Source organism: Homo sapiens, chromosome 20 (assembly GCF_000001405.40).
Source record: "Homo sapiens chromosome 20, GRCh38.p14 Primary Assembly".
Lineage (NCBI taxonomy): Eukaryota > Metazoa > Chordata > Mammalia > Primates > Hominidae > Homo > Homo sapiens.
Window position 1 is genome coordinate 19,985,038 of NC_000020.11, and position 26,834 is coordinate 20,011,871.

The 26,834-nt window shown below is 43.1% G+C and overlaps 1 protein-coding gene across 19 annotated transcripts in view, besides 1 other annotated feature; it reads left to right on the top strand.

Annotated features, from left to right (window-relative positions):
- Positions 1-17,419, top strand: part of RIN2 (Ras and Rab interactor 2) — a 244,858-nt gene extending 227,439 nt beyond the window's left edge. For all 19 annotated transcript variants that reach the window (XM_047440212.1, XM_047440213.1, XM_017027888.2 and 16 more), the window contains 4 exons: positions 4,969-5,274; positions 7,131-7,262; positions 11,642-11,805; positions 15,576-17,419. In XM_047440212.1, coding sequence (XP_047296168.1) covers positions 4,969-5,274; positions 7,131-7,262; positions 11,642-11,805; positions 15,576-15,899 — 926 coding nt within the window. In that variant the 3' untranslated portion in view covers positions 15,900-17,419. The remainder of the gene's footprint in view (positions 1-4,968; positions 5,275-7,130; positions 7,263-11,641; positions 11,806-15,575) is intronic.
- Positions 7,968-8,839: an enhancer, noted in NCBI's record as "H3K27ac-H3K4me1 hESC enhancer chr20:19973649-19974520 (GRCh37/hg19 assembly coordinates)". NCBI's record gives its function as "activates a minimal SCP1, AML or CMV promoter by ChIP-STARR-seq in primed H9 embryonic stem cells {active_cell/tissue: H9 hESC(primed)}" and the evidence as "EXISTENCE:reporter gene assay evidence [ECO:0000049][PMID:30033119]".

Here is a 26,834-nt window from a genome sequence, read left to right on the forward strand (position 1 = left end):
CCCACGGCTCCCAGGGCTCTTTCTAACACAAGCAATTTCTCCAGTCTTCAGCTTTGCCTCTCAAAGTCTCACTGCCTTCTGGCCAGCAGTGGAAATGCAGAAAGTGTACAAACAAAGCCACTGAATTGCTGGTCTTGTGATGTTTCCTTGTCTATCTCCAGCCTCTGGAATCCATGCAGTAGGTGGTCAGCATGAAGGAAAGGGTCAAGGTTTCTGTCTCTCTTCCTTAATGGAGGAGTGAATCAATTCTTGGAGAAGTAATAAGAGTGAATCACTTCTTGTCTAGAAGCCAACACATTGAATACTTCCTATAAATTATTACAGTAAGTGACATTTAGTCAAGGAAAAGCCAGCAATTGCTATGGCCTCTACCACTTTCCTCTTATGGATTATTTTGGGGCCAGTTGATATAATCTTGATAAATATTTTCAGAAAACTTGTTTCCAGTTTTGATCATTTAGAAACATTTAGTTTCTAAAGTTCAATATGTTGTGGTTCAAACGATTTTTTACTATTTGCTTGTTACTAGAAAAATAGAAAAGAAATGAGTGAGGCTGGGCATGGTGTCTTATGCCTATAATCCCAGTGTTTTGGGAGGCTGAGGTGGGAGGATCCCTTGAGACCAGGAGTTCGAGGCCAACCTGGGCAACATAGTGAGACCCCCAGCATCTCAACAACAGCAACAACAAAAAGACCTTAATGAGCTTTAAAAGCATATACTCATCTTACTCATCTGTAAAGGTTTCAGGTGTTTGTTTTGCACGCGTGCTTGTGGATGAATACAGTTGACATTACTCCAAGAACTCAGGAAACATTTTATGAGTTCCAGTCCTGGCTCTCCCTCTTGATAGCTGCATGACAAAGATGTCCTTGGGTTTCAGTTTCCTCATCTGTGAAATGAAAACATAGTAGGCCTCCCTGGATGGAGTTTGTCTGAGGATTTGAAGATCCAGTGCAGGTAAAGTGGCTAGAATAGTGTCATTGTTCTGAGAGTTTAAAAGGTTTTGTTTTTTTGTCCAGGAATTAACGATTAATGCAAAAAGAGATCATAGAAAAAAATGGAGAGTAGTAATTTATGAGAAATGTGACCAATTTGTTCTTTCCTCTTTTGTCTGAGGTGGTTCATGTTATGAAAGATCGTCTGTTCCTTGGGCTCCTCAAATCCTTTTTCCTTCTCGCTTTATGAGCAGAAGCTTGCTTTTCCTATTGGAGAGAGCCAGCTGGATCGTGGGTCCCTCTTTTCATTTAGGCTCTTGTCCCCTACTCTTTATGTTTATTAAGGATTTGGGGAGGGTGGGGAGGAGGAGTGGGATAAACCTCTGAAAAAAAAATGCAGGGACCAGTTTCCTTATTTTTAAATTATGGTCTTTAAAGAAAAATGTCCTAAAATCTACCACTAGCAATTACTTTTTCATTTTATTTTCAGAAAACGGGCTACTCCCTTGGCAATTGGTCCTAGGTTTCAACCCTCCTAAGAGATTTCCACAGCCCCTTTTATACCCAAGGGTGGAATTCCCCTCGAAGGCCAGCACCCCTCCCTGGCAGCAAGGATGAGTTGCTCAAGGGAGCCTGTCCAACTTGCTAGTAACGACTTTTCTGATGTCATCATTCCCCAGAAGCAGCTGCGAGCCTTTTGGGGATGATTTGTATTAACACTCTGGCCCAGAGGTGACCGGGCTCACTCTGATGATAACAGTTGCCCGTGGGGTTCAAGGTGAAAATCTCATCCAGGTCTTTAGTTGTTTTCTGTTTTTCTGATTCATATACATTTATTGAGGTTTAACTTACATCCATAAAGTGTGTAAATCTTAAGTACTCGGCTCAACAGAATTTTACACACATGCACACCCATGTAGACACAGTCCAGATCCAGATCCAGAACATCTCTAATCCCTGGTGTCCTGTCCTGGCCCAGATCCTCCCCAAGGGGGACTGCCATCATGACTTCTGTCCCACAGGTTAGTTTTGCCTGCTTTTGAACTTCATATAAACGAAATGCTGTAGGAGATACTCTTGTGTCTGGGTTCTTTCACACAGCCTTGCGTTCATGAGATGCATCCATGTTGTTCTGGAGCAGTAATGTGAGCTTTTTCATTGAATAAATACATTCCATTGTCTGAATTTCATTGTAGTATTCCATTGAATGAATATATCCAATGTATTCATTTCTGTCCAAATGGGCCTTTGGGTTATTTCCAGCTTGGGGCTATTATAAATAACATTACTATGGACATTCATTTACGTTTCTAATTAATGACTGACATGGCCTTTGTCCTCCCGTGGTGACCCTATTTTAACCAAGTAGTGGTCACTTACAACCATGAATGTAGCTTTCAGAATGTTTGGATGAGAGGAATAAACTGGCGAGTATTTATAAAGTGACTTGAACTTTACAATTAAAAGATTATTTACTTTGAAAAGCTGTATAAATGGTTATTTAAAATAGTTGTGTGGCTTCTATCAAGCCATTAGTCATCTCTGAGCCTCAGTTTCCCCATCTGTTAAACGGACATAATATTAGTATTGTGCAAAAATAATAGAATTATTGCAAGGATTAGATGATAGTGAAGTAAAGCACTTAGATGGAGGCTGGCCCATCTGAGCACTCAATATTAATTTCTGTTATTAATTTTTTATCATAATGATGATATAAGGTAAAGTCAAAGATGCTATGAAGTTGCACGAGCTTATTAACACAAAGCAACCAATGTAAACCAAGTAATTTGTTTTAATGCCAGATGTGAATAAGTTGTTCTGCTTTTTTTCCTACTTTATAACCTCCTTCGCATCAACCTTGATTTCTATAGTTATATAAACCTTTGTATTTAAACAAAGAGATCTCCTGGATAAGTTGGAAGAGGAGAAAGAAAAAAACAACTTGGGCTGGGGAATCTGATGATTGTGGGGTCAGCGTTAACTTTTGGCCTCAGTTTTAACCTTGGGGGACTGTTTTCATTGTTTGTACCTCTGCGTTAGATTTATCTTTGTCCCTGGCCTTCTAATAATAGGTAATCATTTGAATTCAATAAGATCTGATCCAGCGTCAGGAATTCCAAAGGCCAGAGAGACAACTCAACTATTTCTTTTGCTTTTTCTTTTGAGACAGAGTCTCATTCTGTCACTCAGGCTGGAGTGCAGTGGCAGGATCTCGGCTCACTGCAAGCTTTGCCTCCAGGGTTCAAGAGATTCTCATGCCCCAGCCTCCAGAGTAGTTGGTATTACAGGTGTGCGCCACAACGCCAAGCTAATTTTTTGTATTTTTGGTAGTGATGGGATTTCGCTGTGTTGGCCAGGCTGGTCTTGAACCCCTGGCCTCAAGTGATCTGCCCACCCCAGCCTCCCAAAGTGCTGGGATTACAGTCATGAGCCGCCATGCCTGGCCTAACTTAACTATTTCTGATCTTATATGTAAGTGGACCCATTGGCTTCCCAAATGGAATAAAATTAAGGTGTCATCATTTTATGCGTAGATGCTGCAGCAGAACCCAAGGGGCTCAGATGAGAATGTGCAAACGTGTGAGGTCAAAAAGCTGCTATTGACAAAGCAGAGGAGTTATTATTATATAAATAGCCTTCAGCCCGCATCTCTGGATTTATGGTACTGGTCATTTTAGTATTAGCCAAGAAAGCTACTCCACTGGGAAACCATTCAATGAAGGAGGGAAGAATAACGCCTCCCACACCCAAAGGTGTTTCCTAACTCGGAACAGAAACACATTTCACACATTTTTAACTTTTAATTTTGAAATCATTTCAGATTTCCAGGAAAGTTGCAAAAATATCATAAAGAAATATCTACCCTTCACTCAGATTCCCAAATGTTAGCACTTCGCCACATCTGCCTCATTCTTCTTTCTCTCTCTTCACACACACACACACACACGCGTGCACACACACAGATACATGCACGTACACATACATGCACACAAATACGTGCACACACACTGTCTCTCATTTTTTCTGAACCATTTAAGTTGCAGACATTATATCCCTTTACCCCTAAATACTTCAATGCATATTTCCTAAAAACAAGGCTATTCTGTTTAATAACTACAGTATAATTATCAGACCTAGAAAATTAACACTGATGCCTTGTTAGCACTATTACCTTATCTGCAGGCTGTATTCGATGCCCCACTAATGTCCTTTATAGCAAATGAAGAATTTTTTAGTCCAGAATCTGATCCAAGATCACATACTATATTTAGGTGGATCTATTTCCTCAGAAAACATTCTTTTTTTTTTTTTTTTTTTGAGATGGAGTATCACTCTGTCACCCAGGTTGGAGTGCAGTGGCACAATCTTGGCTCACTGCAACCTCTGCCTCTTGGGTTCAAACAATTCTCCTGCCTCAGCCTCCCCAGTAGCTGGGACTACAAGCGTGCACCACCATGCCCAGCTAATTTTTTTGTATTTTTAGTAGAGATGGGGTTTCACTATGTTGATCAGGCTGGTCTCCAACTCTTGACCTCAAATGATCTGCCTGCCTCAGCCTCCCAAAGTGCTGGGATTACAGATGTGAGCTACCACGCCTGGCCCTCAGAAAATATTCTAAGAGATGTTGAATGCTCATTATTAGAAAATCCTTCCTTTAAGATAACATCTTTGCTCTCCTGTTAATTGGATGACCAGTTGAAGGACTAGGTCAAAAGAATGTCTTCTAGCATATTTGCCTGTACTTACAGGGATAGGGCATGAAAGTAATTAAAACAAATATATTTCATTGTATTGATTATATGCAAGTTAGACATCATTGGGGAAGATTCGGTCTTCCTGGCTTTTCAGAGAAAAATGTTAACATGTGAGTTATGGCGCTGCTTGGTGTTGTCTGTTGGTTGGATGTTAAGGTGTACAATTTGTGTGCCTGCAACCAATGCATAGAGTTGCAGATGTCCATTGTAAGAAAGCAGATGTTGCATTTCTTCTTTCTTCAGACAATAGTCATAGTAGCTACACTTTCTTTGGCAGATGTGGTGCTGGAAAAAGCCATGCACAAGTGCATCTTGAAGCCCCTCAAGGGGCACGTGGAGGCCATGCTGAAGGACTTTCACATGGCCGATGGCTCATGGAAGCAACTCAAGGAGAACCTGCAGCTTGTGCGGCAGAGGAATCCGCAGGAGCTGGGGGTCTTCGCCCCGACCCCTGATTTTGTGGATGTGGAGAAAATCAAAGTCAAGTTCATGACCATGCAGAAGATGTATTCGCCGGAAAAGAAGGTCATGCTGCTGCTGCGGGTCTGCAAGCTCATTTACACGGTCATGGAGAACAACTCAGGTGAGGCCGCTGGAAGCCCAGGCTTCGTGCCGCTTCCCTTCCGGGCCGGGGACAGGCCTCTCTCCTGTCAGGCTTTCTGATTCCCAATTTCTCCTCCCTTTGGTCTCTTGATTTCACCAAGTGGCTTACAGAACTACAAGTGATTCTCTGATATCCGGCACATTAGTCACATGCAACAGATTAAAATGTAAGCAGATGAGGGCAACAAGATTTTTGTACCAGGCCGATTTAATTAAAGATTTAGTTCAGAGTATGGTTACAAATTCAGTCTCTGGAGTCTGAGTTCAAATCTTCCCTCCGAGAAGAAGAAAATTAACTGAGGGACTTTGGCCCCCTTAATCAACCTTGCACGCTGTAGTTTTCTGCGTCTTTAGCCGGATGTCACCCTTTCTTTCATGAGGTGGGGATTAGCTGAGACAGCCCACACATAGCCCCAAGTGCAATGGAAATGTCAGCGATTATCATTACAACATTTTGGCCAATGAGGGTTTGTGTCAATGACCTATAGTATGTGAAAGAAACTCTGAACATTCAGTTATAATGAGGCCTCATTAGAGCCGCTTCATTGGCTAGCCCTTCTTTGCTACAAGCTGAAGCAATATAATTGAAATTCACCGAAGAGTTACAATCTTGGAAAGCCAGCCCTCAGATTTAGCCTTGTTGTTTCCTGTAGATGCAGGGGTAACCATGAATCCTGGATAGTAATGGAGCCCTGCATTGTCCCAGGTCTTCAGTAAGCTTATTGTAATTCTGAAGACGATTACGAACTTTTCTTCTGAGTGAAATTGCTTAATGGAGAAGCAGCAGAGAGAAAACACAGGCTGTATTAACCACTGCTTGAGTAGACAGGAATGTGTGTGCACTTTGGGAATTGTTGAGTGAAGAAGTTAAAATATGAGCTCCTGGGCGTGGTAATGATAGCAAGTGAACATCACCTCACAAGTTTGCAAGCATATTTCACATATAGGAAACATATTTTCTATAGTTCACAGTTATTTATAAAAATTCCCCAAATAATATCTGAATATCTGAATTCCCCAAATAATTCAGAAGGATTATGCTCTTCTGAAGCACAGTTCCTCAACACACACACTAAAGACATTAATGTAGACAGGATAATTCTTCTTTTGGGGGCTGCCCTGCTTCCTGTAGGAAGTTTAGCAGCATTCCAGATGTCATCTGCATCCCCACCCTCCAGTTATGTCAATGAAAAATGTCTTCAGACAGTGCCAAATGTCCCCTGGGGGACAAAATTATCTCCAGTTGAGAACCACTGATGTAAAGAAAACTAGAAGTAAACACTAACATTTTTTGCCATATATTTCCATTAATCAATGTGTATATTCAACATGTACTGAATTGGCACGTTTAAAGAAATTAACTGTGTGCTCACATTAAATACAGAGCAAAGTTAGCTTATTCCTGGTTTGAGTTTGACCTTGTCATTATGTTTGTAAATAATGTGCACAGCAAGAAAGAGGAAGTAAGACACAAAGAATTAGCATAAGTAAATATTTTGTAAGCATTTTATAATCTTGTTTGCTGAAAGTTAAAATATTTTAACGAGTATTCTGTTCTATCACATAATTTTATACAAATTATAAAAGTAGGGAGAAAATCTGTAATGTGTTCATTGGTTCATAGACATTCATTCTGAAACTGTAAGGGCTGGTCTCTAACATTAGCAGCTGGGAGGGTCAGAGGCTACATAGGATTCCAGAAACACTCACCTCTGTTTATAAATAGCACAGTTCCCCCCAGAGTGACTCCTTGCTGTCTAATAAAAGCAGCAAGAAGGATGTGAAAGAAAGAAAAGTTGGTAAAAATATTCCATCTCCTTCTCTTCCTGCTCTCAGGGAGGATGTATGGCGCTGATGACTTCTTGCCAGTCCTGACCTATGTCATAGCCCAGTGTGACATGCTTGAATTGGACACTGAAATCGAGTACATGATGGAGCTCCTAGACCCATCGCTGTTACATGGAGAAGGTAACTGCTTTTGAGAAAAGTTGAAGGAACTGGGTGCTATTTTTTTCATTTTTTTATAATTGAGACGAAATTCATGTCACATAACATTAATCATTTTACAGTGAATAATTCAGTGGCATTTAGTATATTCACAATGTCATGCATTCTCCACCTTTATTTAGTGTCAAACTATTTTCCTCACCCTAAAATAAAATTCTGCACCCATGAAGCAGTTACTTGGGTGCTTTTTTGACATCTTAAGTGTTAACTGAATTTTTTATTAATTTAAAAGAGTGTACTAACCTTTTTCTGATTGCAAAAGTAATACACACTCGTGGTAGAAAATTTGGAAAAGTCAGGAAAAACACAAAGAAAAAATATAACCCCATCTTAACTATACTTCACTAAGATTGCTTAATGGCAATAAAAAAAATACATTCAGTAGAATAAATGCCATTTTTTTTGGAAGAAATGGTTTCTTTGGCTCCAAGAGGAAATTATAAACTTTTGTTGAGGATATTTCCATTGCCAGGAAAATAACCTGCTCTTATATTAGTGAAATGGATAAAAGCTTGGCTTTGTTTTTATTTTTTAAAATTTCGTTTTCAAGGTGAAAACAGTATTAATTTTTTTCCAGTTTTTTTTAAGTATCTTTTCATTTTTATAGTAAAAATACAGGGGTGTGGAATCTGTGCAGTTTGCTCTCAATTTACGTTGGCATTCGGGTTCCTTCTCCTTGTGTCTGCCTAACCCCAACATGTCTTAGCAGAAATTCCTTCTCCTTACACATAGCTTAGGTATTTTACATGGAAATGATTAGGATGTTTGGCACAGTAGTGCACAGCCTTGAAACGCAGAAATAACTGGGACTCTATGTGAGCTTATCTTTTCAAAGGAGAACAAATCAGGGCCTGTGCACTGTGAATCCTCTTAATCCATTTTTATATATCCAGATAAAAGCCCAGACAAGCCCTGGGGGGGATTGTCACGGTTTCGTTTTTTTTTTTCCCGTGAGTTTCAGTCTGGGCTTGAGTAGAAAGGTCCATCTCTGACAGGATTCCCTAAGGAATGAGTCATCCCAGCATTTTCCCTGGAGGGAATGAAATGCATTTTTACCACCCCCAGAATGTGCCCCCTTAGTCTCCTCAGTCCTGTAATGTGAATTCACCAGGCCTTAACTTTTCCTGTCGGAGGGACCGCCCTCCTTGGAGCCCGATTATGCCCTTCCCACGTGACCATGGGTAGTGCTGACTCAGGATGGGGGATGAATATCTCTCCTCCCGTACCCGATCCCAGGCAGGTATGAATGGGCCTCTTTCATGCTTTCACCCTTTAGCCTCTTCTGTCCCCTTATTAATATTACTAACCATGGAACCAGACACTCCCCGATGAGCCTCCAAGGCCCTCCCTGGAGCTTTTCTTGCCTGCTCTGCCCTGGGATTAGACAGGACAAGGCCAAACATGTGGTTTTGCCCAGGGACCAAGAGAAGCATGTTAGTCTACATAGCATGCTTTCCTTCCTTCCACTGTAATGTTTGTTATTAATACAGTTTGGGGTTTGGTTATTCTTTTTCGAGCTTCGATCATGTTTAATTCTAGTAATATAAGTATGTAGAGCTCTTAGGGCTTTGGGGAAAAAGACACGCCGGTTTCACTTAGAAAGTCGATTCTGTTGCTGACAATGTGCACTCAGGACAAACATTGCTTGTATCTTGTGGCTCAAGGATAGAAACAGCTACTTCCTGCCCCTTTCCCAGATTGGCCCAGGGCAAGGCCCTGTGTTGATGACTAATGGACAGGTGGCTGTCTTCTCCTCCACGAATCCCACAAGAAAGACAAGGGCACAGCTAGTGAGGATACAAAAGCTGCTGGTGAGCTCGCACTTAAATAGAGCCTGCTTCCACTTAACCGTGTCTGGGGCTTCTTGGCTGCCTTCCTTGGGAAGTAGGCGGCCCAGTTGGGTTGGCTGTGATCACAGACCAGGCCTGCACAGCATCGAACTGAAGCTATGCAGCCTGGGAGGAAGAGGCTACTGAGCAGTGGCAAAAATACAGATTGGACTTTTCCGTGCCTGCCCAAAGTCCTCTTTGGTTTGCGGGGTAGCAGCCACGTCTGTTTTCCGCTGTTTAAGCAGGTATTCTCATTTACCAAAAAGGCGTCATAGAATCCCTTAGAAGTGCACAGCTCTTGTGGTAGGGTTATAGTCTTGCTGAAATTTAAAACCTTCTCTAATTGCATCCACATGTTTCAAAGTGTGGTCAATTTTGTGCTTCCAGCATTTGAGTTTTCTCCTTAGCGTCCTGAACAGATGAGAGCTAGGGAGTCTAAAATTTGAAGTCCAAAGGAGCCCCCCTCCACCCCCACAAAGATTGTAACAGTTCTCCGAGTCCTTGCTCAAATCCTGACCCTCCATACGGCCTTTCCTGAATACTTATGTTCATATTGATTTCTCCTGAAATTCTCCATGTAGCATCTGTATTCTGGATTACTGAGTTTCACACACAGTCACATGCTGATTTGTTTGTGGGGCGAATATTTGGTAAAGATCAACAATTCAAAACTCTTAACTAGGGTGATTATACTGTAGGTGGCAAGGTCTGGAAAACCCTTCAGATCACTCTATACACAAAAAGCTTGACATGTGATCAATGGAAAGTGCATGGCTCAGGGTGACCCAGATTATGCCGCGGGAAAAAATAACCTCAAGTCTTCATCTGCAACCTGAAAACAAGAAGGGTATTTTTCTTTCTCGTGTTCATGTCCAGCACGAGTTTGCAGGGCGTGTGGCTCCTGATCCACATGGAGGGGACAGTTGCCATCTTGCATATTGCCACTTATTGACCAGAGAGAGGCTTCTGCAGGGTCTCACATGAATAAAGCTAAATACTTTGGCCCTAAAGGTGACACTTCTGCACAAAACTCATTTCGCCAAACTAACTTCTGGTCCCTGCAGGAATAAATTGCCAGTGTCTGTTTTTTTTTTAAAAAAAAAAAAAAAAACAAAACACATTCATAAACTTCTGGAGAGTGGGGACTCAGATTCTATTTCTTACAAACCTACTTTCTTCTCTGTAGCTGTGGCTCACAGTAGAGATTCAATGAGTATTTTGACAAAGAATGTCTCTAAATCTAAAATATGCTGTGCCCAATTAGGGAATTTTTAATAAACATTCAGGGCGACCCCTAGTGGCTCTTCAGCGCAGAGACCATAAGTTCCTCCCCAGGCACCTAATTATATGTTAGGACAAAAACTATGAAGGAATACATACACATCTTACAGTGTCGTCAGCCCTTTTTACACTCCTCAAGAACATAAGAGATCATTCCTAAATACACCATCACAGGAACATCACTTTCCTGTAAATTATTTTATCCTAAATGCCAGATGTTATGTTAGTCCCAAAGGAAGGGGGGGGTAAGAAAGGGAATCAAGGGAGAGAAATTATTTTTGAAGTGTCCACATTTTTGCGAACAGTTCTTTCAAAGTGTATAGTTTACTTAAGATTTAGAAAATACTCATTGCGTTTTTTCCTTTTTACTTTTTTTTAAACCAAATTCTTGTTTATCAGAGATAGAAAATATCAATTTCTAAAAGAAAAAGCCAAGAGCAAGTGTTGCCACGAGTCTGGACTGATGGAGGGGATACTGGCCTTGGATCACCTCACACGCCTGACTTTCCCCCCACCTCCCCGTCAGGCCTTAATACCCCAACTACTCCTGGCAAACATTTTTCATAATTGCACTTTAATAATTTCGGCTGGGCATGGTGGTCATGCCTGTAATCCCAGCACTTTGAGAGGCCGAGACAGGTGGATCAGTTGAGGCCAAGGTTCAAGACCAGCCTGGCCAATATGGTGAAACCCCATCTCTACTAAAAATACAAAAATTAGCCAGGCGTGGTGGTGCATGCCTTTAATCCGAGCCACTCGGGAGGCTGAGGTGGGAGCGTCGCTTGAACCTGGGAGGCGGAGGTTGCAGTGAGCTGAGATTGTGCCACTGCACTCCAGCCTGGGTGACAAAGCAAGACGCCGTCTCAAAAACAAACAAACAAAAAAACAAACAAACAAAAAAAACACTTTAGTGGCTTGGTCAGTCTCACGCACTAGAATGGAAATCCCATCATTGAAAAACAGGAACCTTGTCAGCCTGGCTTGTCTGTGCCCCCTTGGCCCCTCCCAGGCCTGGGTCGCTCCAGAAATCTCTGTGGGATGGCTGTGTGAAGGGATGGATGGAGGAGTGAGTGCCATGCTCTTGGGTGTGTGCTTCTGTGATCCCACAAGGAAATGCATGTTGAAGAAATACTAAAAATACAAAACATGCCTTCTAACGCTGGCATCCCCTGTTATCACCCGTGAGCGGAGGTTGGCACTGGGAGGACCCACTCTTTCTGCTCTTTTCAGGAGGCTATTACTTGACAAGCGCATATGGAGCACTTTCTCTGATAAAGAATTTCCAAGAAGAACAAGCAGCGCGACTGCTCAGCTCAGAAACCAGAGACACCCTGAGGCAGTGGCACAAACGGAGAACCACCAACCGGACCATCCCCTCTGTGGACGACTTCCAGGTGTGCAGCTGGCCACCCCTTTGCTTCCTTCGTCCTCCAGGAATGCGGAGCTGGCTCACCCAGCACATCCCAGCTCAGAGGTCCCCACTGTGTTGAATTATTTGGCAGGAAAGGGATATCTCAAACCACCCTCTGGCCTTGTTACACTGATCTGTTTTCTTTACATTTATATACGCATGGGATACTTGGCCCAAGTTTTGCTGTCTTTAAGAAAACCAAGTTGAATTAAGGCAGAATCTCTGCCCAATCAAGCAGACGATAAGTCAAAAAGGAGGAGGAAGCACTTGGCACAGACGTTGGAGATTTTGTTTCATCAGGAAACAGCCGCTGTGTTACGCGATGCAATTGGCCTAGTTTCTCTTTGGGAAGAGGGAGAGGAACAGCGATGTCTCCTTCCCTTTTCTCTCGCCCACTCTCCAAAACAGAAGACCCCAGAATCTCAGCAGCAGCAGCAACAGCTATGGCAGCCGTCCACGGCGCAGAGTGACCAGGCGAGCATCTGAGCGAGTCCTGCTCAGGTTCCCTGGCCAGGGCTTTTCCTGACCGTGAGCTGCTGCTTGGGAATGTGGGACTCCCAGTGAGCTTGTTTCTTAGAATGGACAGGTGGGTTAGGGCTATAGAAATCTTTACCCAAGGCCAGGCATCAGGGCTCACGCCTGTAATCCCAGCACTTTGGGAGGCCAAGGTGGGCAGATCACCTGAGGTCAGGAATTCGAGACCAGCCTGGCCAACACGGTGAAACCCTGTCTCTACTAAAAATACAAAAATTAGCTGGGTGTAGTGGCAGGCACCTGTAATCCCAGCTACTTGGGAGGCTGAGGCAGGAGAATCGCTTGAACCCAGGAGATGGAGGTTGCAGTGAGCCGAGATCACGCCACTGCACTCCAGCCTGGACAACAGAGTGAGACTTAGTCTCAAAAAAGAAACAAAGAAATCCTTACCCAACACAATTCCTGATTTGCTCATTGTCTATGAAATAATGAGTGAGTTGGCAAATGTCTGCAAATAATATTTTGAAGGTTTTAAATTAAATGATAAAACCTTCCTGTGGTTTGTTTCTATGTTCCCCATGATGAGTTTCCAAGCAGGGATGTGGAAAGCAAGACAGATTTGTCTACACATCCAGATTCACCTGCTTTTTTTTTTTTCTTAAGACAGAGTCTCGCTCTGTCACCCAGGCTGGAGTGCAGTGGTGGCACGATCTCTGCTCACTGCAACCTCCACCTCCCAGGTTCAAACGATTCTCCTGCCTCAGCCTCCGGAGTAGCTGGGACTACAGGTGCTCACCACCACACCTGGCTAATTTATTTTGTATTTTTAGTAGAGATGGGATTTCACCGTGGTGGCCAGGCTGGACTCAAACTCCTGGCCTCAACTGATCCACCCGCCTCAGCTTCCCAAAGTGCTGGGATTACAGGCGTGAGCCACTGCGCCTGGCCATTTTTTTTTTTTATAAGAGCTCTGAAAATAGAGGGTCAGATGAGGTGGCTCATGCCTGTAATCCCAGCACCTTAGAGGCTAAGGCAGGAAGATCGCTTGAGGCCAGGAGTTGGAGACCAGCCTTGGCAACAAAGTGAGACTCCATCTCGACAAAACAACCACAACAAAAAATTTTCAAGTTAGGTAGGCGTAGTGGTGCACACCTGTAGTCCCAGCTACTCAGGAGGCTAAAGTGGGAGGATCCGTTGAGCCCAGGAGTTTGAGGCTACAGTGAGCCATGATCACACCACTGCACTCCAGCCTGGGCAGCAGAATGAGACCCTGTATCAAAAACAAACAAACAAAAAGGCAAGCCCATCTTTGAAAGCCAAGATCAGCTCATTCTTCTCCATGATTGCAGTATGCTCAGAAATTCCTTCTGGAGCGCATAAACCTAAAGAGTGAGAATACACGCACTGCACTCTCCCCACCCTGTTGCACTAAGAAGGTCCCTGTGCCACTCAGTGCCTGCAGACCCCTGGGGTGCCATCATATAGCCATCCAGGGAGGGGCTGCCTAGGGCAGAACAGAGGAAGTGAAAAAAGTTCATTGTTCCTTTCCCCACCTGCCAACACACCCTCCTCCACCTCTTCACCTGGAGACCCTCAGACACCATAGAGCTGCCTTCTTCTGCAGCCGTCCCCTCCTGCCCTCATTGACCCTGCTCACCTTGGAGGTGCATGCCTTCTCAGAGTGTAACCGAAGAAGGAAATGTTCAGCACTCGGCTCAGGGGTCAAAGCAAAACCTCAGACCCAAAGCTCCATCTGGAACCCCTAAATCAGAGGCCACAGACACAGAGGTCTTCTCACATGGGAAGAGGTAGTACGTCTTGGTGGTAAAGGCGGTGGGGCTGCATCTGCCACGTCCTAGCTGTGTGGCTTTGGGCAAGTTACGTAGCCTCTCTGTGCCTCAGTTTCTGCACTAGTCAAACAGGGATTATGTAGACCCTGTCTCTTAAAAAAAAAGGTTCAAAGAGTGTCACTGTCAATCTGGGCACCTCCCACTAGCTCACCTCTCCTGCAAAGTCACTGGGCTAGCAAAAGTCCCCACTGGAAGCAGATATGAAACATATCTTACATGTGCAGAGCTCACTGTCCTTCCCAAGAGCTTTCCCTTCTGTTATCCCAGGAAACCCTCGTGGTGACCTTGCAGGCACCTGGGCAGAGAGCCCTCCTTCCCTTCACTGCTGAGCAGGGTTGCCAGATTTAGCAGAAAAAAATCTATTTGTTTTCTAGCTGAAACTCAAATTTAACTGGCTGTTCTAGATTTCATCTGATAACTCCACTGTTAAGGAAACAGAAGCAAAGTTATCTGGGGTCACAAAATCTAGGAGAGCCTGATGTGAGTTTAAGATTCTTTATGCCTGGTCTGGGCTTTGTATCTTGTAAGGCCACAGGTTTACATGTTTCATGATAGCATGTACCTGGCATGATTGCAGCACCTGAGCCTGCAAACGTCTTTGTTTAATTCCCTGCAGCACCACCTTGCATGTAATCAGCTCCATCTGCAAAGTATTTGGCAAAATCAACATTCTTCTCCTTCTGACTTTTTCCACATTGTGCCCAGAGCCACTAGGAGCCTTGTATTAGATTGAACTACATGAAATCACCATTTGGGGGAGATAAAAAATAGTCAAAAGTCAGCGCATTTTGTGTGTGTGTGATTCAACCTAAATGATTGCCCTTGCTTAGGATTTATTTAAAAAGTTTGTCAAAAGTGAACACAAGCCAGGTACAGTGGCATGCACCTGTACACCTAGCTACTCAGGAGGCTGAGGCAGAAGGATCACTTGAGCCCAGCGGTATGAGTCCAGCCTGGAGAATATAGTGAGATCTCATCTCTTAAAATGAAAAGAAGAAAACAAAAAGTGAGCACAGTACGTGCTTTTGTGTCTAGATATTTTAAATCTCTTTCTGCTGACTTCCTTCATACTCTTGTGCTATTTGGTTTAGTTTTCAAGCTGGGAATAAACCCAGCATTGGATGTGGTTCACACTCTTAAGCAGGGGTTTCTTAACCAGACCTTATGAGGGAAATGGAAAGATCAGAACCAGGGCTGCATGGACTTCCTGCTTCTTACAGTTGCAATGAATCATGTAGTCATCTTCGCCACTGTCCAAAGTCAGATCAGCCTCTTTCCTTGCCATTCGAAGCCTCGTGGCCTGACATCGGACATTATGACAGGAAAGGGCCTGGAAATGGCTTACAGTTACCCCCTCCCCTGGTCCCCCATCATGCTCACTATCTAGTTTTCTCTTCTGACTGTCTCAACATTCCTCTTCCACCTGCAGAATTACCTCCGAGTTGCATTTCAGGAGGTCAACAGTGGTTGCACAGGAAAGACCCTCCTTGTGAGACCTTACATCACCACTGAGGATGTGTGTCAGATCTGCGCTGAGAAGTTCAAGGTGGGGGACCCTGAGGAGTACAGCCTCTTTCTCTTCGTTGACGAGACATGGCAGCAGCTGGCAGAGGACACTTACCCTCAAAAAATCAAGGCGGAGCTGCACAGCCGACCACAGCCCCACATCTTCCACTTTGTCTACAAACGCATCAAGAACGATCCTTATGGCATCATTTTCCAGAACGGGGAAGAAGACCTCACCACCTCCTAGAAGACAGGCGGGACTTCCCAGTGGTGCATCCAAAGGGGAGCTGGAAGCCTTGCCTTCCCGCTTCTACATGCTTGAGCTTGAAAAGCAGTCACCTCCTCGGGGACCCCTCAGTGTAGTGACTAAGCCATCCACAGGCCAACTCGGCCAAGGGCAACTTTAGCCACGCAAGGTAGCTGAGGTTTGTGAAACAGTAGGATTCTCTTTTGGCAATGGAGAATTGCATCTGATGGTTCAAGTGTCCTGAGATTGTTTGCTACCTACCCCCAGTCAGGTTCTAGGTTGGCTTACAGGTATGTATATGTGCAGAAGAAACACTTAAGATACAAGTTCTTTTGAATTCAACAGCAGATGCTTGCGATGCAGTGCGTCAGGTGATTCTCACTCCTGTGGATGGCTTCATCCCTGCCTTCCTTCCTTTCTTTTTCCTTTTTTTTTTTTTTTTTTTTTTTTTTACAAAGAGCCTTCATGTTTTTATATATTTCATAGAAATTTTTATAGCAGTTGCAGGTAAACTGTCAGGATTGGTTTTAAAATATTTTTGTAACTTTAAAATATTCTATAATTATGCATGTGATTTTAACATTTAATATTCAAAAATAAATCTCTTGCTGGATTTGAGAGTATTGCATTTTTAAAGTCTCTCTTCTGTAACTGGATGTTTTGGCAACTTTGTGGGGAGAGACTGCTGGATTTCTTAAAGCAACGTATTCCTGACACTGGCCACAGAATGCCTTTGGAAATCGGATGTACTGTTCTCTTGTTCACGTTTAGTGGTGTTTTGCTGTTTTGTTTTTTAAACAAATGATGCTGAGAATAAGGAGAGAAATGAATGTAGAGAGAGGTAGAGAGAGAAATATGAACTCTAACAAAGGACTGAGGAGTGCAGTCTGCTGGTTCAGGCTCTTCAAAAGATGTAGAAAAAGAGATAGAAGGAACCACCTATGCTTAAAATACTGTAAATATGCAGTGAGGTTTGGCAAAATCTATTCCATGTGTGATTTGCTTGTAGAAACAATTTTGAAAGCCCCTTGAGGAAAATAAAAATCAAGAAGAACACTTTTCTCCCTTTTCCATACAAATTAAAACTTAACAGCATCAAATTATTGGGACCAGAAACCAAGTAATGTATAATGTGGCTTTTGTTGAGTTAAATAAGATGCTATATAATGGAGAAGAATTTGAAAATGCACAAAAAAATCAATCTACATTATCAGAACCTGCAGTGAAATTAAACTTATGTTAAATAAAACCAGTTTGCAGGTGCACAAACTATGAGGGTCTTGTATCCACGTAACACAGGTAGTTACAAAAACATGTTATTGTACTGTGTAAAGATGCATAGTCATCTCATTTGGTTGGCTTTGTACCTTGTACCTTTTTTAGCCTTGGCTTTTGTTGAACTAGAACCCTCAGCACATACTGTGTTGTACTTTTGTAAATGATTTTTTAAATGGAATTTTGCACATAATACATTGTAATACTGTATGATAATCATGTGTGAAAATAATTTTTGAAATATCCTTTGGCTGTTTTTTTTTTTCTTTAGAGTAAGAATATATTCATGCACCACGCAGTGTCATGGACAGATGAAATCCGAACCAGGGTTTGTGGTTAGACAATGTATCGTGGGGGTGAGCAGAAAAGCTCACATTTCTCAGAAGCTCCTCCTGATATGGGGCAAAAGTTAAGGAGCAGAAGGAAAAGATCATCCTCCCACCTGAAAGTGTTTTCATTGTTATCTAGTGCTGTACTTGGCTCAGTGGGACTTAGAGCAAATCACAGGTAATTTGAACCCGGAGTTAGCTGGGGTCCTGCAGACAGCCCCACCCTGTCCTCACGTAACCTCTGCAATGCCCTGGGTGACAGTTCAGTGCTGTTGCAAAATTGATAGCGCAGAGGCTTGGACTCCTCGCTGCCATACTCCCCATGCTTGGAAGGGTGCCTGGCATATATTAATAGTAAGTGCTCAATAAATCCTTGCTGGCTGAAGGAAGGAAAACATGAGTTTAGAAGGGTTTCTAACTCATCAGTGGGAGAGATCCGTAAAGATCAGAATGAGAATTGAATGGGCTGCCTGCTTTTGATATTTACAACGGACCAAAAGATGACAGCTCAATCCATATGGTTGTCCTCCCAACTCTTCAAACTAAGATCATCATGCTTTGTTGATTTAAAGCAGGTCACAGCCTCTGGATGCGAGGCAGCCTTGCAGCCTTCGGTGGGACGAGAGCGGGCTCAGAAGAGGAAAAGGTAGCGTGGGCAGAAAGCAACATCACAAGACGGTCCCTGGTTTTGTCATTGGGCAATGTTTCCCCGTTAAAATTACAACACAACATGTGCCTCCACTTTTTCCCCCACGCAGGCATTTCTCACTTCTCAAATTGCCAGGAAACAGACTTGGGTGAAGGTTGGAGGGAATAAGAGGAGAGTAAAAATATACATGCTGGGTGGAGGAAGAGGAGAACGCATTTCCAAATTTAAAAATACATTATAGCTGAGGTGGGAGGATCGCTTGATCCCAGGAGTTTGAGGGTGCGGGGAGCTATGATCCCGCCACTGCGTTGCAGCCTGGACGACAGAGCAACCCTGTCTTCCCCCTACAAAAAAGTAAAAATAAAAACATGTTATAAAAGTTGAACGCCGGCCAAAGGAAGGGATTTTTTTTTTTTTTTATGTTGCATGCGCTGCCAAATACTTTCACTCTAGTACCACCCCCACACCCCCGGGACACAGAATAGAAATAGAAACTGTTGAAGTAGTTCATATTATGTGGAGGTTACAACTTCAGATCTATAAGAAAATACAAAGGACAGGAAACCCAGCTATGAATGCTTCCATTCACAAATGCGGTTCCGTCCTCATTGGGCAGCTGTTACCTTCATCTTCTTTAAGAGACTTGAAATGAGGCAGCGCTCCAATCTTTAACGCCTGCTCATGCCGTCATGCCTGGTCACACCTAGTCACTCCTGGTCTCCTACCAGCAGTCTCAGAGAAACAGAAACAGCACAAGAAGGACTCCGAAGGGCACAGTGTGTGTGGAACACAGGCATTTTAATCATCTGGCAGTATCTGATAGTAAAATTCTAAGTGTCCTCATTTTTTCGGCCCATTTTCATGATGGTGAATTTGAGACCAAAAGTACTTTTTGTCATTTGGTTAACTCTAATTCAGTTGGAAATATGGGAAAGAAATCGCCTAACATTGCAAAATCCTAAATACGTGATAAGGAAAGGAAGGAAAGAAGGCAGAGAGGGGCCAGGCGCGGTGGCTCATGCCTGTAATCCCAGTACTTTGGGAGGCCAAGGTGGGTGAATCACTTGAGGTCAGGAGTTCAAGACTAGCCTGGCCAACATGTGAAACCCCATCTCTACTAAAAATACAAAAATTAGCCGGGCATGGTGGCAGGCACCTGTAATCCCAGCTACTCGGGAAGCTGAGGCAGGAGAATCCCTTGAAGCCAGGAGGCGGAGGTTGCAGAGAGCTGAGATGAGGACACTGCACTCTAGCCTGGGCAATAGAGCAAGACTCAGTCTCAAAAAGAAAAAAAAGAAAAAAAAAGAAGGCAGAGAGGGAGGGAGGAGGAAAACATCTGGCATTTGTCTCAAGAAACAGGTTCTGATTAGAAAAAGATCGATTTTACTCCAACATCAAAAATGGTGGCAGTTGGCACAAACCTTTCCCCCATGAATACTAGCTTTGGAAGAAATGTAGGTATGGGAAGTTAAAAATATATATAATTATTCTGAAAGGTCTGGGCATGTAACCTTTTTTTTTTTTTTTTTTTTTTTGAGACAAGGTGTGACTGTCACTCAGGCTGAAATGAAATGCAGTGGTGCTATCTCGGCTCACTGCAGCCTCAACCTCCTGGGCTCAAGCACAATCCTCCTACCTCGGCCTCCTGACTAGCTAGGACTACAGGTGTGCACCACCATGCCCAGCTAATTTGTGTTTATTTTTTGTAGAGGTGAGGTCTCACTATGTTGCCCAGGCTAGTCTCAAACTCCTGAACTCAAGGGATCTACCCCCCTCAGCTTCCCAAATTTCTGAGAAAGTGTAACCAAGGCCTCCCCTCAGAAGTCTCCCTGGAGAAGCTTCAGTTGGAGTGAGGTGGTTGGGGGTGGAGATGGGGGCAGAGTTTCTTATCTCGAGTCTGCTATAAATTCTCCCATTTAAAAGTAAAATTTGCCTGAACTCTGAGGCTGCATGTAAGACACTTAGACTATCATTACATTAATGAATCTGAGTATTTCCTTTGAGTGCACACATTAGAACTACTACAGCCAGCCCTCATTTCTCACTGCTGGGGAACGGGGGTGGTCAGATCCTGCCACCTGTGGAGAGGGGCTCAGAACCTGAGGACCACGGGTGGCCAGGGAGGAGCTCCTAGACGGCCTTCACCTCTGTAACCAGCCTTCGGTTTCCTGGGGGAAATATCACTACACATAATTAGCTCCATTGCTTCCCTTTCTTCCCATTTCCCCACCATGATTCTGTGGGCTGGGTTTTCCCTCACGTAGTAGGTTTGAGGGTGCTCTTAACTCTATTCCAAGCCTCCTTGCCAAAAAGCAGGCTCTGATCCTTTTCACAGTTTGTTTCTTCAGTTCCAACCAGAGACTCAAAAAGTGTGAACCCGGCCCCACTGCAAACATTACCCGCCCACACTATCTGTCACCAAGACCCAGTGTCCGTTGTTCCATTTGAATAGGTGGCTCTCAGCTTTGGCTGTCAGCTTGAAGTCACCCGGAGCCTTTTAAAACTCCCAATGCCCCAGCTGCCCAGACCATCAGAATCTCTGCAGAGGCGACCCAGCCAGCCATATTTATTTTAAACTTCCAAGGTGCTTCTGCTGTGAAAACTACTAGTTTAGATCAAAATCTGGATTTTAATATAAAAACACACCTGCGAGAAGTAACACCTTTGCCTAACCAAGACCACTGACACCTAACCAAGCATGCATTCTCAACCTGATTTGGCTGGCAGAGGACCATGGAACATGTACTTCTAGCCTGGTGCTATCCCGTAGAAATACGAAGCAAGCCACATAATAGGTAATTTTACATTTACTAGTGGCCACATTTTTAAAAATCAAGAAGAAATATGTAGAATCAATTTTAGTAATTTTATTTAGCTCATGATATCTCAAATATATTTCAACAACCAATCAATTAAAAATATTAAAGAGGCATTTTACATTTTTTTATTTTTTATATTGTCTTCAAAGTCTTGTGTGCATTTTGCACCTACAGCACATCTCATTTCACACTGGCCATGTCTTAAATAACCAATAGCCACATGTGGCTGGTGGCTACCATATTGGAGAGTGCAGTTCTAGCATATCAACTAGGGATGATCTTAAAAGTTAAAAAAAAAAAAACGGTATGTGTATATAAAATAAAACACATTCACAGGTTACATCTACAAAGGAACAGACACATGCATCCTGTCAAACGTATGTACCTATTACTAGCCAAGGATGAAAATAGCATCTTGCCTCTTCAGGCACTGCTGTAAGGCAAACATAAATTGATCCATGCAAAGTGCTTAGAACATCCAGGCACCACACCACAAGCACTGTTAAATGTTACTTATTATGATTATTAGATAATCGACTGCTTTGGCATTTCACCCCTACTGCTTATTTCTGCTTACCCATTCATGCTATTATCTGCTGGCAAGTTTCTTGTGAAACAGAAGAAAGGCAGTAATGGGTATCAAAGGTTTAAGAAAAATGTACTGGGGCGGGTTGCTCAATGTAGGAAGATCAAACATAAAGTGAATACTAGTCATTAATTTTATTTTATTTATTTATTTATTTTTGAGACGGAGTCTCACTCTGTCGCCCAGGCTGGAGTGCAGTGGCACGATCTCGGCTCACTGCAAGCTCCGCCTCCCAGGTTCATGCCATTCTCCTGCCTCAGCCTCCTGAGTAGCTGGGACTGCAGGTGCCCGCCACCATGCCCGGCTAATTTTTTATATTTTTAGTAGAGATGGTGTTTCACCGTGTTAGCCAGGATGGTCTCGATCTCCTGACCTCGTGATCCACCCGCCTTGGCCTCCCAAAGTGCTGGGATTACAGGCGTGAGCCACCGCACCTGGCCTAACTTTATTGTTGTTACTGCTGACGGTGGTGATGGCGGTGATGGTGGTGTGTGCGTGTGAGTTGGGAGTAGCTCATTTTCCCCAGTATTCAATGCTGGTCAAGAGCATCATCAGGGCCCATAGCCAGGGGTGACTTTCGCCAAGAAGGGAGAAGGGAGCAAGGGAGGTTGCAAAGACGTCTTGCTAGCTTCCCAGTCACGGGCAGATCGAAATCCTAAGAGGAACCATCTCTGCCTGCACAAGAGTCTAAAATAGTATTTCCCAAAAAGGAATTATTATTTAAGTAAAAGCATAATTATAGTCAGTGATTATTTTAACCACTTTCCTCCACCTTTTTCCCCTTTTACTTTATTATATTCACGAATTTATATGTCCATTTATATCATTTAACAGGACTATTGTTTAAAACTTGGTGCTTTACCAAGAAGAATACAGAGGTTGACGTGATTAATTCTTTTTATTTCTGATGTGCGTGCTTCCGATTTCTCACCACTTCTACAAATTATGAGAGAATGCATTTATTTACCAGATTGCAGTTTCCGTCCATTTTATCTTTCTCACTCCCATTTTTCTCTGCAGCCTATTGATGTACGATCATATGCAGAAAAGACTTATGCATCTATTATCTACTGAAAGAAAAACTACAGAAAACAATAAAATGCTAGAGACTCTTTAACCAATCAGAAAAAAATACGTAAGTGAAGCAGCTACGACATCACAAAGCTTCTATTTTTCGCTAGCACATGAAAATATGAGACCTGACAAATTGCAAACTCTCATTGAACAGATAGTTTAGGGTTTTGCCTTGAAAACCATAGTCCACGGATCAAGCATCACATCTTTTGGGAGTTTGTGAGAATCTCAGACCCCTGGCAGACCTGCTGGATCAGAATCTGCATTTTAACAAGATTCACGAGCACATTAGAGTTGGCTTGAGAAGCATTAGTTCAAGGTATATTTGGGGCCTTGGCATTTGTGCAGCTGATACAAATACACAAATGTAGGAGGTGTGCTGCTCTTAGAACCCTGCAGGAAAGGAGAAGAAAATAGCTCATAATTGTTTTGCTAAGAGTAAGGCATAACTTCATTTAAAATCACCTACATTATGGACAAAAGGCTTAACAAACAAATGTCAGGAACCAAGTTTTTACCTCATTATATATATTCAATTATGTTCTTCTTGCTTTGACAGGGAAAAGGGGCTTGAAGGGCGTGGGGAAAAGATTCTGAAAATTAGGTGGGATTGCTGAAGTCAAACTTAATGATTTTGCTGAGTTTGCTGGAGAGTGGCTTCTCTCACCTCCAACATCTGTATGAGGGCAAACAGGAGCAGCGGAGGGGGATCTCTCTGTCCGGGCCAGCTGCTTGCACATGCATGTGTGTGCACGCACGGATGTCGTCATGTAGTCTGCACAATTAGTCACATTGTCTGCATGTGACATGGGAAGTTTATAAGCTTTTTTATTTTCTTAAAGAACAGCTGGTCCGGCCACAGTGGCTCACGCCTGTAATCCCAGCACTTTGGGAGGCCGAGGTGGGCAGATCACCTGAGGTCGGGAGTTTGAGACCAGCCTGACCAACATGGAGAAACCCCATCTCTACTAGAAATACAAAATTAGCCAGGTGTGGTGGCGCACGCCTGTAATCCCAGCTACTCAGGAGGCTGAGGCAGGAGAATGGCTTGAACCCAGGAAGGGAAGGTTGTGATGAGCCGAGACTGTGTCGTTGCACTCCAGCCTGGGCAACAAGAGTGAAACTCTGTCTCAAAAAAAAGAAGAAGAAGAACAGCCAACTTCCTTTTAAAGGCATTTCATTCCCTGAGAATCTACTAATCATAAGACCCTTTTACTCACCAACTTCGAAAAACAAAGATGTGTTTAATAAAACCTCTTCGGTGAGCAAGGAGTGGATGATTTAAAACATCGCTGGAAAAAGCTCCTGTGGAATCCCCAGCAGACAATTTCAAAGGGAAAGTATGGTGAATTTCGCAGAACTCTTTCATTTCTCCAGGTAACCATTGTGGACAATCCTGAGCCCTCATTTGTTTTTCCAGATGACACTGGTTTACTCACATGATTTTGCCTTATGTTTTTCAAGGGGAAGGAGGATTTTAAAAGAATAAACACAATACATGGTTTTCAAAATCAAATATTGGAAGACTTGCAATGGAAGGCAGCAGCCCCTGAGCCTCCTCCCAATCCCATTTCTGTTATCTCCTCCCCTAAACTACGTCTCCAGCTGTGTATTCATTATTTATCTCCATACTTCTAAAAAGATGCTGATACTGCTGCTTATTGGTTTCTTTTTCTTTTCTTTCTTTCTTTTTTTTTTTTTTGGAGACAGAGTCTCACTCTGTCCCCCAGGCTGGAGTGCAGCGGCACGATCTCAGCTAACTGCAAACCACCTCCCAGGTTCAAGCAATTCTCCTGCCTCAGCCTCCTGAGTAGCTGGGATTACAGGCATGTGCCACCACACCCGGCTAATTTTTATATTTTTAGTAGAGAAGGGGTTTCACCATGTTGGCCAGGCTAGTCTTGAACTCCTGACCTGAAGTAATTCACCCACCTCTGCCTCCCAAAGTGCTGGGATTACAGGCGTGAGCTACCATGCCCGGCCTCTTTTTCAATATTAGACATTAATAATTGATTCCATATCATGGAAGGTGAGGATTGAACCTTCTTGTATGGTGGTCCTCTCCTTAGGGTGACCATGTAGCAGCCTGGTCATATGTCAATGCCTGTGGGGCTTTTCTCCTGGGTCAGGTGGTTTCCCCACAAGAAAATTCTCCAGTATCCTACGGGCGCCGGGTGCAAAGTGGGGTTAAATTTTGTTGCCAGCGTTCTAGGAGCTAAGCAGGCAAGGAGCCTGTGGGTTTTCAGCTTTCCGTCTGCCAGCTTTCACCTCCTCCCATTTCCAATGCAGTGTCTCAACGTCACTTTTCGCTGCCTGTGCTCTGACGGCTCAGGGACATGGCTTCTGGGTCTCTCCAGGAGTGAGGCGCTCATCTTCTCCCTTCACTCACACCTGCCAGAGCTCATTCCTGAGCCCGCTCAGACGCTGCATAGGGAATCGATTGCCTTGCTTCCTGCTGGCTTTTCCGCCTGACATTGGTTAACATCTAGCTTTCTCCTGTCTGCTGAGTTTTCAAGCCCGCAAAATTTTGTTACCAGTTCCCATTGGCTGCTGTCTCCTCTTCCATTCTTTTTGTTCCTATGGATGTATGCCCTTTTAAAAATTCCTTTTTAAATTTTCTTTAATTCTCATTTTAGTGAGGTATTGGTAGGGGAAAGATAGGTAATGCAGCCTGCCTTGTTTAATTGAAACCTGTAGTTTTAATAAGAAAAAAAATAAATAATAAAATAATAAAGAAAGAAACCTGTAGTTTTACATTTGAATGGTGAATGAACTTATACATCCTAGTTAGCAAAACTGAAAATAGATTATTACAATGATAGGCCAGAGTCAATGCATCTATCTTATCCAGTTATTATTTTATATAAAAAATTTCTTATATGAAGTCATCCAAACATCCAAGCTGTTTAATTGTAAAGTATGCTGCCTAGGATATATCAAAATATATATTTACTGTGCACTTTGTCCTTTCCATATAATCTGAAAGAAAAGAAACAGAGCAACAACAGATGAACCATCAAGCTGTTTGCTTGTTTTCAATGTGGAATTTTGCAATGATGGATGTGAATCTGGGTCAGCACTGTTTACAGAGAGCACATGGTGTTTTGTTTCAATGAGCAGGAAAATGTTTGCCATTAAATGTGGTAAAAGCTTGTAGTTTTTTCCAACTAAGCAGTAAAAGAAATTACTCTGTGTAGAATGATAAATAAAGAGTTCTATGAGTCATCTTTAATGTAGGGGAAAATGTGCAGCCGGGATAGAAACAGTGTTTTACTGCCGGCTAAAAATAAAATCAAATGCACTGAAACAGAAGTCAATAACAGCATGTCCTAGAAGCCCAAGTAACTGTGGGGTTTAACGTAGTTCATGCTTTTCAAATATACTTCTTAAAATGATGGTGACAAAAATGGAAAGACTATGCTGATCCTTCCTTCTTTCCTTCCTTCCTTCCTTCTGTCCCCTCCCCTCCCCTCCCACCATTATTTATCTCCATACTTCTAAAAATATGCTGATACTGCTGCTTATTGGTTTCTTTTCCTTTTTCTTTTCTTTTTTCTTTTTTTGAGACGGTGTCTCACTGTGTTGCCCAGGCTAGAGTGCAGTGGCACAATCTCAGCTTTCCTTCTCCCTTTCTCCCCTCCCCTCTCTTCCCTTCCCTTCCTTTCTTTTTTAAAAACACCATGCTGGAGTGCAGTGGTGCAATCATGGCTCACTGGAGCCTCAAACTCCTGGGTTCAAGGGATCCCCCTGGCCTTACCCTCCTAAGTAGCTGGGACTACAGACACATACCACCATGCCTGGCTATTTCTTCTTCTTTTCCTTCTCCTTCTCCTTCTTCTTCTTCTTCCTTTTTTTTTTTTTTTTTTTTGTTTTTGTTTTTTTGTAAAGATGGGGTCTCGCTTTGTTGCCCAGGCTGGTCTCCAACTCCTCAAGCAGTCCTCCCACCATAGCCTCCCAAAGTGCTGGTGATTCTTCTGTTTAAAGTCAGATTTATTAAGGTATAAGTTTGATAAAGTAAAATTGACTCATATTAGTACACATTTGATGTATTTTGACAGACTCATTTGGTCATGTAGCCACCACCATGATCAGTCCCAGCCTGGGCAAACATTGGTCTGTTTTCTTCTGTTCCTATAATTCTGCCCTTTCAGAATGTCATATAAATGGCTGGGCACATTCACTCATGCCTGTAATCCCAGCATT